The 16,541-nt window shown below is 34.5% G+C and overlaps 1 protein-coding gene across 16 annotated transcripts in view; it reads right to left on the bottom strand.

Moving 5' to 3' along the window:
* The window catches only part of IQCM (IQ motif containing M), a 464,135-nt gene that overhangs the window by 241,382 nt on the left and 206,212 nt on the right, over positions 1-16,541 (bottom strand). The gene's annotated exons all lie outside the window — the stretch shown is intronic.

Below are 16,541 nucleotides of genomic sequence, written 5' to 3' on the forward strand. Positions count from 1 at the left end.
ATGGCATGTTCTTGAATTTGTTTGTGTCCTCTTTTATTTCGTTGAGCAGTGGTTTGTAGTTCTCCTTGAAGAGGTCCTTCATATCCCTTGTAATTGGATTCCTAGGTATTTTATTCTCTTTGAAGCAATTGTGAATGGGAGTTCACTCACGATTTGGCTCTCTGTTTGTCTGTTATTGGTGTATAGGAATGCTTGTGATTTTTGCACATTGATTTTGTATCCTGAGACTTTGCTGAAGTTGCCTACCAGCTTAAGGAGATTTTGGGCTGAGATGATGGGGTTTTCTAAATATACAATCATATCATCTGCAAACAGGGACAATTTGCCTTTCTCTTTTCCTAATTGAATACCCTTTATTTCTTTATCCTGCCTGATTGCCCTGGCCAGAACTTCCAACACTATGTTGAATAAGAGTGGTGAGAGAGGGCATCCCTGTCTTGTGCCAGTTTTCAAAGGGAATGCTTCCAGTTTTTGCCCATTCAGTATGATATTGGCTGTGGGTTTGTCATACATAGCTCTTATTATTTTGAGATATGTCCCATCAATACCTAGTTTATTGAGAGTTTTTAGCATGAAGCGTTGTTGAATTTTGTCGATGGCCTTTTCTGCATCTACTGAGATCATCATGTGGTTTTTGTCTTTGGTTCTGTTTATAGGATGGATTATGTTTATTGACTTGCATATGTTGAACCAGCCTTGCATCCCAAGGATGAAGCCCAGTTGATCATGGTGGATAAGCTTTTTGATGTGCTGCTGGATTCGGTTTTTCAGTATTTTATTGAGGATCTTTGCATCGATGTTCATCAGAGACATTGGTCTAAAATTCTCTTTTTTTGTTGTGTCTCTGCCAGGCTTTGGTATCAGGATGATGCTGGCCTCATCAAATGAGTTAGGGAGGATTCCCTCTTTTTCTATTGATTGGAATCGTTTCAGAAGGAATGGTACCAGCTCCTCCTTGTACCTCTGGTAGAATTTGGCTGTGAATCCATCCGGTCCCGGACTATTTTTGATTGGTAGGCTATTAATTATTGCCTCAATTTCAGAGCCTGTTATTGGTCTATTCAGGGATTCAACTTCTTCCTGGTTTAGTCTTGGGAGGGTGTATGTGTCGAGGAATTTATCCATTTCTTCTCGATTTTCTAGTTCATTTGCATAGGGGTGTTTATAGTATTCTCTGATGGCAGTCTGTATTTCTATGGGATCAGTGGTGATATCTCCTTTATCATTTTTATTGCATCTACTTTATTCTTCTCTCTTTTCTTCTTTATTAGTCTTGCTAGCGGTCTATCAATTTTGTTGATCTTTTCAAAAAACCAGCTCCTGGATTCATTGATTTTTTGAAGGGCTTTTGTGTCTCTACCTCCTTCAGTTCTGCTCTGATCTTAGTTATTTCTTGCCTTCTGCTAGCTTTTGAATGTGTTTGCTCTTGCTTCTCTAGTTCTTTTAACTGTGATGTTGGGGTGTCAATTTTAGATCTTTCCTGCTTTCCCTTGTGGGCATTTAGTGCTATAAATTTCCCTCTACAAACTGCTTTAAATGTGTCCCAGAGATTCTGGTATGTTGTGTCTTTGTTCTCATTAGTTTCAAAGAACATCTTTATTTCTGCCTTCATTTCATTATGTACCCAGTAGTCATTCAGGAGCAGGTTGTTCAGTTGCCATGTAGTTGAGCGGTTTTGAGTGAGTTTCTTAATCCTGAGTTCTAGTTTGATTGTACTGTGGTCTGAGAGACAGTTTGTTGTAATTTCTGTTCTTTTACATTTGCTGAGGAGTGCTTTACTTCCAACTATGTGGTCAATTTTGGAATAAGTGTGATGTCATGCTGAGAAGAATGTATATTCTGTTGATTTGGGGTGGAGAGTTCTGTAGATGTCTATTAGGTCCACTTGGTGCAGAGCTGAGTTCAATTTCTGGATATCCTTGTTAACTTTCTGTCTCGTTGATCTGTCTAATGTTGACAGTGGGGTGTTAAAGTCTCCCATTATTATTATGTGGGAGTCTAAGTTTCTTTTAGGTCTCTAAGGACTTGCTTTATGAATCTGGGTGCTCTTGTATTGGATGCATATATATTTAGGATAGTTAGCTCTTCTTGTTGAATTGATCCCTTTACCATTATGTAATGGCCCTCTTTGTCTCTTTTGATCTTTGTTGGTTTAAAGTCTGTTTTATCAGAGACTAGGATTGCAACCCCTGCTTTTTTTTGTTTTCCATTTGCTTGGTAGATCTTCCTCCATCCCTTTATTTTTTAAGTAGGAAGGGATTTTCTCGGTTTTAAACAACCTTGTGACCCTACCAGAAACATTAATAAACACATCACTCACATAATACGAAATGTTTGTTTAAATAGGTACTGTGAAGAGAAAATTATTAATTGCAAATACATATAAAATTACAAATTATATATTAAAACATGTGAAGTAAACTGAAGAGTTTTTTTCTGCCAGGCTGGGCTATTAACACTAGCATTTGCCCTGAAGAAGTCAGTCATGTCCCTAGCGCCTTCTGTGAAATAGCAGTGGGCTGCATTCTTTATGCTGCTACTAATACGATTTAAACAGAAAAAATGTCAATCACTTGCACACATGCAGAATCAGGAGGTACCAAACACATCTTTCTGAGATTTTTCACAAGCCAATCTCTTTACATTCTTGAATTTGAGAGCTTCCAGGAATGCAAACAAACCACAGGATGGTTTAAAAGCCATATAACCACCCATGGGAGTTATGCAAAATCTTCTCATGGAGCCAGACCAGCCTCCACTTTGGAAGGTGGTCTTAAGTGTAGTATTCCCTTTATTTACATTTCTTTACAGAGGTGAAGGTATCCTAAAGATAATGCTGGTCACTTTGTAATAGCCATGGCTTCAAAAAGCCATTCAACATTCAGATTAGGAAAGACTGGAGAAGATGACACAGAAAAATACATGTTGCTTATCTACCAGTCACTAGAGAAAATTTCTTTAACCTTCACAAAAAATTAAAACCACAGAAATTTAATCATTTATGTAGACATTTAAGCTAAGTGTAGGAGGCAATACACAGGCTGAAGAGAAGGAGGGAAATGGATAGGGAGCTTTGCATCCCAATATAAGCCCCTGTAAAGGTTGGAATCTATTTGAAAAAAGATACAAGGGGATTGCTGTTTCTAGGAATATGTTCATAGTAACAAATCTCAACATAATCCAACAATAAATTCTAAAAACATAAAAATAAAAGATGTTGTTTAATGCATGGCTGAGCTGATGGGAAAGTAATGGAATTCCATTCTGGCCAAACACTGAAATGTTGAAATTACTGTTTTATAATTTCAGAAGCTTGTCTTTGCCTTGGGGATGGTATGGCAATTTCTGACAGCTTAGAGTCTAGGTTTTAATGACCTGCATGCCCTGCAGTTGAGAGGTAAACATTGGAACCCAGAGTACCAAGGAAAGTCAAATCTAAGAAAAGTACTCATAAAACCCAAGTCTTGGAAGGGCAGTAGACTTAAGGCATAAACCAAGATTTTTTAAATGTCCTGTAGAAAGAGAGAGACTGTGAGACCACATACACACTGTGGCCTTGGCTCTGAGTGAAGAGATAAAATTCCTAGAAGTTTTCTAGGAATTTCTAATGACAATATACCATTTACCTAGATTTAGAGGTTCAATTCAGATTACTGTAATGCCGTACAAATCTGGGCCCCCACCAAAAAAGTTTGAAAATTTAGAATAAAAGTTGTCTCACCTTAGTAGTGCCCTAAAGCACTGGGTAAAAGCAATTTTATCAATCATTTTTAGATTGCAGTTTAACCCACACTTCTAAGAATTCTCACAATAAAATACCAAGAAAAATTAGCTCAAAATCAGGAAATTCAGTAAACATGAGAAAGCAGCAATCAAGGAATCAGAACCTACATATTCAGAACCTCAAAGACTAAATATACTGTAATTATTATGTAAAGACTATAAAATAAGAATGAAATTCCATTTCTACATGTTTAGAGAAATATATTGAAGAAACAAAAAAAATTATCAAAATTGACTGAGCAGACTTGGAAAGTAACAATCGACATTATAAAAATAAAACACATAATATTTAAAATTGGAAATTCAGTGAATAACAAAAGAAAATAATAGACACAGATAAAAAGAGAACTGATAATATAAACTATGAGGGATAAAAAAACACCTAGGTTGCAGCAGTGAGACAGAAAGAGATGGCAAATATTAAAAGAGGAAAAAGAGTAAGGACAATGACAATTGAATGACTCACATTTGTCTGATTAAAGATTTATAAAGTTTTTTCTTGTTGTTGTGCTTTTTTTCTTTGTTTTTTGTTTTTGAGATAGAGTCTCGCTCTGCTGCCCAGGCTGGAGTGCATTGGTATGATCTCAGCTCACTACAACCTCCACCTCCCAGGTTCAAGCAATTCTCCTGCCTCAGCCTCCCGAGTAGCTGGGATTACAGGCCCACGCCACCATGGCCAGCTAATTTTTGTATTTTTAGTAGAGATGGGGTTTTGCCATGTTAGCCAAGCTGGTCTCTAACTCGTGACCTCAAATGATCTGCCTGCCTCAGCCTCCCAAAGTGCTAGGATTACAGGTGTGAGCCACTGCACTAGACCTAGAGATTCATAAAATTTTAATTAGAGTTTTATACAGAAATTATAGAAGACAGACAGTATTTGAAAATATAATGGCAGAGTTTTGTGTTTGGGGTTTTTGTTCTCAGAATTACTGAAAGACACTGATTTTCAGATATAAGAAGCCCAACAAAAATGGAGAATAGTTCAAAATAAACTACACTTACACACCTCATAACAACAAAATAAACTACACTTACACACCTCATGACAAAAAAAAAGTTCTTAGAAATAGAGTACATAGACATATTACCTACAAAAGAGAGACAACTTGACAAACATCTTTTTTTACCCCCAGCAACAATGGTAGCCAGAAGACAGAAGAATGATAACTTCAAAATGCTAAGAAAGTATGGTTGAGAGGAAGAAAAAATACATTATCAATTGAAGTATTTTGCCAACTGACCCTTACTAATGGCACTTCTAAAGGATGTAGTTCAAGAAGGAAAATTATCCAAGAGGTCTGTGATGCTAGATGTAATGGCAAATAAAATAATTGGGAAGCATATAGATAAACTTTAACAAACAACGACACAATGAAACAAAATAATTGTGTCTAATTTTTGAGGTTTTAAAAAAGAAAGAACTAAACTCTAGAAGTTAAGTCAATCTACCATCGTTGTGTGGAATAAGAAAGTAGGGAGTTTAAGGTAAAATACATTAAAATCTACAGATTAACCATTTATTAAAAAATAAAAACAAAAATATAAATGCCAAGCTAGCAGAAATGAAAGATAGCACAAGAGGATACTTCAAAAAATAAGAGAATTATTTTTATTTCTTCTTCTTGGGCAAATAACAAGTACAAAATGGAAAGAACAAATAAAGGGCAAAAAATGAAATGAAAGAAATGCATTTAAATACATTTTTTAAAATACAACCATGAGATGTTCACAAAGGAGAAATAAATAATTGCCCAGAAACATACAAAAATTCTCAACTTTATTTGTCATTAGGAAAATGTAAATTAAAATCACAAAGAAATATAATTTCATAAGTGCCAAATTGGCAAAGGTTAAAACTTTGACAGTATTAATTGTTTCCAAGTATATGAAGCAATGGAGACTCTCATAAACTGCTTCTGGAAGTGGAAAGCTGTTTGCTATTGCCTGGAAAAGTTGAACCTATGCTCACTTGACAGCACAGCCATTCCATGGTTAGGGATTATAGGAGTTGGTGGAGTAAATAGAGGAGCTGCTTATAGCTAGTGGCAATCAATTATTCAGGTAATCAATAATCAGTTATAGAGCTCCCACTGCACTGACCTTGCCCATCTGCCCCCAAGACTGGATGGCATATATATATATAATATGACATCCCAGATGCAACAGAATGCAGGTTCATATTGATGTTAGGAGTGCTTGCCCTAGAGAAACTGACACCTATGCTTCGGGAGACATATAAAAGAATGCTTGTAGCAGGTTTTTTCACAATAAGAAATAACTTTTTTAAAAGCAAAATATCTCTCAGCTATAGAAAGGATAAATAAATTATAGTATATTTATTCAATGGGATGTTGTGCATTGATGGAAATGAATGAACCATGGGATTATACAACCACATCAATAAAGATGAATGGATCACAAAAATACATTGTTGAGCAAAAAAGAGAGTGAAGAAATTATAATTACATTTACACAAAGTTATAAACAAGCAAAAGTAAACAAGACACTAACTAGGAATATGTGTACATGTGCTAAAATTGTATGGAAATGTAAGAGAATCATTAACATAAAATTAAGGAGATGTTTCCTCAGGATATGAAGAGAAGGAAAAAGACAAACAATGTTCTACCCCTTAAGCTTTGTGGGTCTTTTTTTTTGAGTATTATTCCTTCACACACATGCAGGTATACATATATATACTCTTAAATGATTGACATATAAAACAATAGAAAAATTTTAATAAAATTGTGGAAATATTCCTTGAGCTTAAATTGAGCATATCACCCTGTGGTAATACGTTTGGCAGATATATGACAACTTCCTATAAGGTTATGTGGATCCAAATTTCTCCTGTGGTTTGTGTATGCTTTGGAAACTCTAAGATTGAAGAATGCCAAGCAATGAACAGCTGCTGCCAGGTGTTAATTACTTTATTCTGAAGTTTTAAATTGTACAAGTCTGTAATACTTGTTACTAATTTTTTATTGGCTGGAATTAAAACTTTATATCTAAAAGGCCAGATTGAAGAAATGAATTTCCATTTTATAATTTGGGGGCATTTTAATATACTTGTGTTCATATTGATGTTGAAGTTGATACTTAAAACTATGCAAGTTATTTGCTTTTGAACATGATTCCCACCTTTGGATTTTAAGGGAGCCCCCTGAGTAGTTAATTTTTACTAAACAATTCAGTTATAAATTGGACAGTATTTTTAAAAATCGAATTAAATCCTTTTTACTTGTGTATTTATTGAGGACTAATTTGAATGTAAATCCATTCTAAATGATGAGTTCTGCTATTATTATGAGATTTATATTCTACGTGGCAGGTCTGGAGCTGCATCACAGAGCTAATAAAAAATTGTTATATCTAACAATTAGAGTCTGCCTTGTGCTTTATGTGTATTATCTTCAATCTTCACCAAGACTCTGCAAAGCAGATGTTTTATTTCCACTTTTCCTGAGGAAACTGAAAAATTTAGTATCCTTCCCTTGATTCCATAAGTAAGAGATGGATAGGATTCAAATTCAATATACCAAAATTCAGAAAGTTAAATTGGGGATACAGGCGGGAAGTTTTTAATCTATGAAAATAGAATACAGTGAAAAAAGATAATGATGGAGTTCACATTAGATTTTTAATTACTTAGCCATCAGCAATTTTGTCTTCTACATTGTTTATTCCTTTAGAAAAGATCCAGTGATTTTCTAGGGAGTCTCTGGGAATTAATCTTAATGGGATTTACAGCTGCCTATCAAAGGCACTGGGGTCAAAGGCTGCCCTAGCCTCCCAATTACAACTTGACTATCACTCCTTGTTTGGAGGACTCTGATGGAGAATTATCTAAAAGAATGATTCTCAAACTTCAATGTGCTTATAAATCACCACGGATCTGATTCCTAGAGACTCAGGATATGCTTACATAAATATATCAGTTTGTTGAAACTGTCCAGATTAATCCATCTGGGTGAAAGCTCTATTATCCAAATACCTAGAAAATTTTTTCAGGACAATTTTGACATCAACTGTGGTCCTATTTCATTATTTGAGAATGTATTTCTAATATCTTTGATTGGGTATTATCTCATTCCTCAACTTTCACAGAGAAATGGCATTCCTACCCCACACAATGACTAAATTCATAGAATTTCTGCACTTCAGGTATTTATCAGGAAAAAAATTACCTCGTACACATTGTCACTACTTATAAAAAGCTCACTTAATGTGAATAATTTATGGAGAATCTTTTAAAACAGTGTTTCTCAAACTTTAAAGTGCTTATAAATCACTACAGATCTTCTGATTCAATAGATCGGGCTGGGACCTAAGATTAGAAGATTAGAATCTTTCTAACAAATTCCTAGGTGATAACAATGCTACTGACCCATGGACAACACATAGAGTAGACAGGGCCAAAAATACATTCCTCCATTCCTCAAGATACCTTCAAATCTATCTCTGATTGAAACTAAGCCAGCATGTAGGTAAACTTAAACAATGACACAATGAAACAAAACAGTTGTGCTACCATTTAGGGAGAAACAGCAAGAAGAAAAGGCTGTACATGTTCAGTACAGATGCAATTTAAAAATATGTATATTTTTGATCTGCATTTGGTTGAATCCATAGATGCAGAACCTATGGATAAGGACGACCAACTGTTCTAGGATAATATTGTTTCCACACCACCTCCACAACAACCAACACCTCTAAGCCCTCCCATCCCTGAAAAAGTGCTTTCACCAAATTGTACTTCAGGCTTATAAATAAAATGAGGGTCAACATTTAGTATACTACTACATTTTATGAAAGTATATGTTTTAGTACATTACAGTCAACCCTTCATCTGGTTCTGCATCTGCAGATTCAACCAACATTGGATTAGAAATATGTTTTATATGGCCTGGCGCGGTGGCTCATGCCTGTAATCCCAGCACTTTGAGAGGCCAAGGCAGGCAGATCCCAAGATCGAGACCATCCTGGCTAACACGGTGAAACCCCGTCTCTACTAAAAATACAAAAACAAAATTAGTCAGGCGTGGTGGCTGTCGCCTGTAGTCTGAGCTACTTGGGAGGCTGAGGCGGGAGAATGGCGTGAACCCGGGAGGCGGAGCTTACAGTGAGCCAAGATTGTGCCACTGCGCTCCAGCCTGGGCGACAAAAAAAAAAAAAAAAAAAAGAAAAAATATGCTTTTTACTAAACAACGAGAAATTAGAATACATCAATAAAAATATACAAGGAAAAAACAATACAGTATAAAAACTATTTACATGCTATTTACATCATATTATGTATTATAAGTAAGCTAGAGATGATGTAAAGTATAGGGGAGGGCTTGTACAGATTATACAAAAAATAGTATGCCACTTTACATAAGGAATTTGAACATTACTGGAATTTGGTATCTGCTGAATATCAATTCAGAACCTCGAATACTAATTTGGATACTGGAACCAATCCCCTATGCATATAGTGAGATAACTGTATTCATTACATTTATTTCATAGTACCCTCTTTATTATCATCTACATGACACATATTTCTGGTTTGTTTGCGTTTATTTTATGGAAACACTCTGAATCAAGTGACCAAAAACTTACCCTCTTTTATTAATTGCTAAAATGTCCACGGCCAAATTTATGGCCTTCTTATTACAAACATCTAATATACCAAATTCTGAATCTGTATACTTACCTAAATCTTAATTTCTTATTTTCTATTTTCTTTTCCATAACCCCTGATGTCTTCATTTATGTAATATTTCATGTTGTATAGATTTTTATAAGGTATCATAAATTATTCATGAAATAATGTAATAAATTTTTAAATAACTTAATAAAGTTAATAATAGCTATAATATAGTAAGTCCTTACTATAACCCACTAATACCATGCTAAGCCCTTTTCATATATGATTATCTATTTTTTGTTGATTATCAGTTTGTCCTTTTTTATGCACTCTTGTTTTGGAATAGAAGAAGCAATAAAAATCCAAAAAATTCAAAACCAACACTATTTAGAGGGCAATTTAACCATATATAACAAAATACAAAGGAAAAAGGTAGGAGTAGGAGAGGTACCAAAAATTCCACTGCAAGGAATTTATTGTAAAAAATTAAATCTACAATAACTTAACTACAAATATAGTGTACTACATTTTGCCAAAGCTCTGTTCAATTGCCAAATAACCAAAAAACAAGTTATTTCCATAAATAGGATATTGCTGTCATTTATTTCATGGTAAGAAATATATTAATCTATATAGAAAGGTTAATTTGAAAAAATAGTGGCCACTAAGTATTGTTATAGTAATTATGGTTGATTTTCTCTTTATTTTGCTCATCTGAGTTTTCTTCAAAATATAAGTATTGAAAGCATAATTTTAAAAAATCTTAACACATGATAAAAGACAAATGTTAAAAGGCAAAGGTTAAAAGTTATCTTACATGTTTGGTTCAAGAGTAAAACTGGAATCAGATTAGGAATCAATCACTGAGGACTCAACTGTCTTAAAATAATCTTTCATCATTGATATGGCATCAATTGTTTTATAATTTCCTAACACAACAACTTGGTGTAGCCTCTTAATTACTACCAACCAGGTCTCACCATTTGTGACCTATTCTTCATTACTAGGATCCCCTAAGAGTCACAGTTTTGGGTTTGTGTCCCTATGATAGACTCAATCCTTCCATCTAGCCAATGCAACATGCCTTGCCTGTGGTAGAAAAAGTGGTCTTCTAATGAGTGTTAGAGGGTGTTAGAAAATAGAAAAAGAGAAATCAACAAGAAAACTCCCTGACAAAATGAGAATGGCCACTGATTTCAGAGAAGAGGAATAGTTAAAAAAAAAAAGTCAACTTCAGAACAAAGAAATTAAGGACTGTATGAGTCTTTGTTGTCAATATAGAAAAAAAAATTACAGCAAAATGTAGACAACATCCTAAATTCAGCATTTTTACCCTTTTTCCTCTTCTTAATATTATAGCTGTGTTTTTCACTGCTTTTGAACTATGTGTATATGCACACCTGTGACATGTGCGTCCTCATCTCCTTATCTTTCCTAGTCTCCTTCACCAACTACTGCCACCACTACTGTTATTATTAGTACTACTGCTGCAAGTCTACAATTCTAAGACTCTGAAATGTATAAAAAGCTCTGAAAACCAAAAAAGTTTTCATAATATATATAAAGGTAAAACTTAACACCTGATTTTGGGTGGCAAAACCTGACCTAAGCTGACCAACACAAGGCCTATATAGTGGCCTCTATCTACCACTTGATGAGAATATGCATATGCTACAAATATTAGCAAGTGTAATTACTGGTTTGATTGTGAATCCACTTATCTTCTTACCTTTCTAAAATTTTAAATTTTCAGAATTCTTACATATGTGTAGGCCCAAGAGTTTCAAATAAAGGATTATATATCTACACAACTAATATAAGCTGTAACTATTACCACTGCTGCTGCATGTGTTATAAAACTTTGCCTTTATGTAGCTCTATATTTGTTATTGCAGATCATTCTAACAGCTCATCAGCCTAAAGGTATATAACTAAAGATCCATCTATTGTTTAATGAATACATGACTTTTAAAACATTTTACCTGATCATTTAAAAAAAATACTGCAAATTTAAACCAACACAATATTAACAGCCACAATATCCAAAGCCTGTGGCCATAACCCTGGCTACTAGAACTTTCTAAGTCTTCTTATTATTACTACTGAAATTTTCATTTGTATTCAACATCCATGTCTGGTGTATTTTGTTTGATGAAAACAAGCTAATTAGTGCTAAACCTTCCCTAGTTCATAAATTTATTCCTAAGAACATTAAAAGGAAGTCAAGTGAGACATGTTCAGTAACAGATGTTTGCCTTATTTGGCTGCCTTTTTACAGTTTGTTCTCTTTCATTACTTTTTAAGAAATTTAGTTAATGTTCCCTTTACTAGAGAACAAGCATACCTAGCTTCCCAGGAGGTGATGGGGGGTGGGAGGAGGGATTCCCCAGGGCAGGCACAGTCTGTTCATTTTCTTAATCTGCTATCTGCTCAAATGCTCTCTATATTCAACTTTTCATTCTCCCATCCAGGTATTCACTTGTGTGATTTCACAATCACATATCTGTTTATCTCACCAAACAATGCCTATGTTGACACAACTGTACAACTAAAACTATTGTTAACAGTATTACTAATGTGTATGGGCCTAGTGCTCCCCAAATATCTTTCCCACATAAGGATATCTCAGAGCAAAAGGTCAATTATGATTGAGAATTGGGTTGAATATTTTGGCTTCTACAGTACAGAAAGAATGTGAAGTGGCCTCCAAAAGCAAAAAGTCAATGGCCTTTTATAATAAAGGAAACTGAAAATAGGTATTAAGAGTTTTCTCTAGAATATTAAATTCATTCAAAAATACACATTTAAAATTATACTACTTATTTACCTATACCTCCACATTTGAAAATCTTTTATGTGGGTGGGACTGTGATGTGGTTTAGGAAGTGGCATGTTGGTATATCTAAGTAACATTACAATTCACATCTTGCATTTGCCAAGAGTGCTTTCTTTCAAAACTCTATGAGAATAGTTGAATATACATCTTGATCTATTTACTGCTAAATAAATTTTGCATGTAGTACATTCTCCCAATAAGTATCTTCTAAGCTAGGACAATAGTAGGGTTATTATCTAAAAAGAAACATTAAGTAAAATAAAATAAATGATGGTTGTAAAAATACACTTTAGGCCCAGATAATATTGCTGCAAGAAAACATTACTATTAAAATATGGGCTTTTATTCTGGTGCTACACTGGTCTTGGAGGCAGTGAACTTGGGGTGTACATGACTCAATGTGACACCAGCTGTAGTAGCCAAGGGAATGCAATGCCTATATAACCCCTCCCCCAACTCCTGAGTCACTGAGTCAGTGAAGCTCAGAGAGAGATTTCTGCTTGGGGGAAGGCAAGGGAAGAGTACAGAGCACTTTGTCTTGCAACTTGAATACCAGCTCAGCCACAGTAAAATAAAGTACCAGAAAAATTCCTTGAAACCCCTGATTCCAGGCCTTTGCTCCTGGATGGTGTTTCTAAACCCACCCTCAGTCAGAAGGGAATCCACAGCTCTGATAGGACAGACCCAGTCTTGGCAAGATTCACCACCTTCTGACTAAAATGGCATTGAGCCTTGAATAAGCAAAAGAGGAAGCAAGGCAGTATTTGCTGTGGGCCTTGGGTGAAACCCAGTTCTGTGCTGGTTTGCAAGGCTTCAGCTGGGAACCTGCATAATGCCATTTGTGATGGCCATGGGAATACCAGCATCACCCCTCCCCCAGCTCCAGGCAGCCCAGTACAGAGAGAGACTCCTTCTGTTTGGAGGAAACAGAGGAAATACAGTGAGAGACTTTGCCTGGTAACCCAAGAGTTGCAATATTCCTGGGTTTACCAGGAACACTGGTGTACCATAGTGCTGAAACAGCCGCAGTGACCACAGCCTTAGGTCACAACACTCAGTCCCCTTTAAACTACTAGAAGGCCCTCTCAAGAAGTATGAATACAAACAAGCCCAAACCACAAAGGTTGAAATAAATACCTAATTCGTCAATGCACAGACATCAGTGAACATCCACAAGCATCAAGAACATCCAGGAAAACATGACCTCACCAAATTGACAAAATAAGGCACCAGTGATCAATCCTGGAGTGATGAAGATATGTGACCTTTTAGACAGGGAATTCAAACTAGCTGTCTTGAGGAAGCTCAATGAACTTCAAGATAACACATAGAAGGAATTTAGAATTCTATCAAATAAATTTAACAAAGAGATTAAAATAATTTTTTAAATCAAGCAGAAATTCTAGAGCTGAAAAATTCAATTGACAAACTGAAGAATGCACTAGAGTCCCTCAATGCAGAATTGCTCAAGCAGGACAAATAATTAGTGAACTCAAAGACAAGCTATTTCAAAGTACACAAAAGAGAAAAAAGAGAAAAAAATACAATGAAGCACACATACAACATCTAGCAAATAGTCTCAAAGGGGCAAATCTTAGAGTTACTGGCCTTAAAGAAGATATAGACACAGAGAGATCAGAGTAGAAAGTTTACTCAAAGAAATAATAACAGAGAACTTTCCAAATCCAGAGAAAAATATTAATATCCATGTACAAGAAGCTCAAAGAATACCAAGTGGATTCAACCCAAGTAAGACTACCACAAGGCATATAATAATCAAAGTCTTACAGGTCAAGGATAAAGAAATGACCCTAAATCAGTAAAAGAAAAAAAAAGCAAATCACATATAAAGGAGCTCTGACAAGTCTGACAATAGGTTTCTGAGGCTAGGAGGGAGTAGGATAACATTTTCAAAGTGCTGAAGGAAAAGCACAACTAGAATGTTATACCCTGTAAAATTATCCTTCAAATACAAATAAAGACTTTCCCAAACAAACAAAAGGTGAGAGATTTCACTGACACCAGACCTGTTTTCCAAGAAATTCTAAAGGGAGTTTGTTCAACCTGAGAAAAAAAAGAGGTTAGTGAGCAACAAGAAATCATCTTGAAGGTATACAACTCACTGCTAAAAGTACACAAACACAGAATACTCTAACAATGTAATTGCGATGTGTAAACCATTCATATTTTTAGTAGAAAAACTAAAAGACAAATATAACAAAAATAATAACTGCAACTTAAGAGATAAATAATATAAAAGATAAATAGAGATAACAAAAAGTCAAAAAATAGGAAGCATGAGGTTAAAATATAGAGTATTTTAGTTTTCTCTTTGTTTTCTTTGTAATAAGAGTTAAGTTGCCATCAGTTTAAAATAATTGATTGTAAGATGTTATTTGTAAACCTTGTGATAGCCACAAAACAAAAATCTATTTTAGATACGTAACATTTTAAGAAAAGAAACTAAAACATACTACCAAAGAAAATCACTTTTACACAAAGGAAGATGGATGGAAGGAAGGAAGGGAGGGAGGGAAAAAGGAGACAAATAACAAAATGGCAGTAGTAAGTCCTTACCAATGAATAATAACATTGAATGTAAATGAACTAAATTTTCCAATCAAAATACATAGAGCAGCTGAATGGATTTAAAAAACAAGAGCCAACCATATGGTGCCTACAAGAAAGTCACTTCACCTATAGACACACATAGACTTAAAATAAAGGAATGGAAAAAAAATACTCCATGCCAGTGGAAACCAAAAAAAGAGTAGGAATGGCTATACTTATCAGATAAAAGAGATTTCAAGACAAAAAGGAACAAAGAAGGTTATTATATAATGGTAGAGGAGACAATACAGCAAGAGAATATAACAATTTCCAAATTATATTCATCCAACACTGGAGCACCCAGAAATACAAAGCAAATTTTACCAGAACTAAAGACAAATATAGACTCCAATATAATCATAGCTGGGTACATCAACACTCCACTTTCAGCATTAGACAGATAATCTAGACAGAAAATCAATTAAGAAACATCAGACTTAATCTTCACTATAGACCAAATGAACTGAATAGATATTTATGGAATATTTTATTCAACAGCAGCAAAATACACATTCTTCTCCTCAACACATGGAATATTCTCAAGGATAAACTATATGTTATGCCACAAAACAAGTCTCAAAAAATTTAAAAACATTGAAATCATATGAAGTACCTTTTCTAACTACAATGGAATAAAATAGAAATCAATAACAAGAAGAACTTTGAAAATGGTAGAAACATATGGAACTTAATATATTCCCAAATGACTAGTGGGTCAATTAAAAAATTAAGAAACAAATTGAAAACTTTCTTGAAACAAATGAAAATGAAAACACAACATACCAAAACCTATGGGATACAGCCAAAGAAGCATTGAATGAAATTTATAGCAATAAATGCCTATATCAAAAAAGCAGAAAACAGTCAAATAACCTAATGATGCATCTTAAAGAACAAGAAAAGCAAGAACAAATCAAAGCCAAAATTAATAGAAGAGAAAAATATAAAGATCAGAGCAGACATAAATGAAATGAAAACAACACCATGAAGGATCAAAAACCAAAAAGATGGTATCTTAAAAGGACAACAAAATGAACAAAAGTTGAGCCAGACTGAAAAAACAAAGACAGAAGACCCAAATAAATAAAATGAGAGATGAAAAAGGAGATATTCCACTGATACCACAGAAATTCAAAGGATCATTAGAGATTATAATTAGCAACTATATGCTAATTAATTGGAAAGCCTATAAAATGGATAAACTCCTAGACACATGCAACCTACGAAGATTGAACCATGAAGAAATAAAAAACCTGAATAGACCACAACTAGTATTGAGATAGAAGCAGTAATTTAAAAATCTCCCATCAGAGAAAAGTCCAGGACCTGATGGCTTCACTGTTGTATTCTACCAAACATTTAAAGAACAGCTAATACTAATCATACTCAAACTATTTTTTTAAAAAATTGAGGAGAGAATACTTCCAAACTCATTCTACAAGGCCAGTATTATGCTGATACAAAAACCAGACAAAGCCAGAACAAAATCAAAGAAAACTACAGGCCAATATCTTGACCATAGATACAAAAATCCTCCAAAAATACTAGCAAACAAAATTCAATAATACATTAAAAGAATCATTCATCATGATTAAATGGGATTAACCCCAGGGATGCAAAGATGGCAAAACACACAGATTAATGAATGTGATACATCATACCAACAGAATGAAGGACAAA

The sequence above is a fragment of the Homo sapiens genome, chromosome 4, assembly GCF_000001405.40.
Source record: "Homo sapiens chromosome 4, GRCh38.p14 Primary Assembly".
Lineage (NCBI taxonomy): Eukaryota > Metazoa > Chordata > Mammalia > Primates > Hominidae > Homo > Homo sapiens.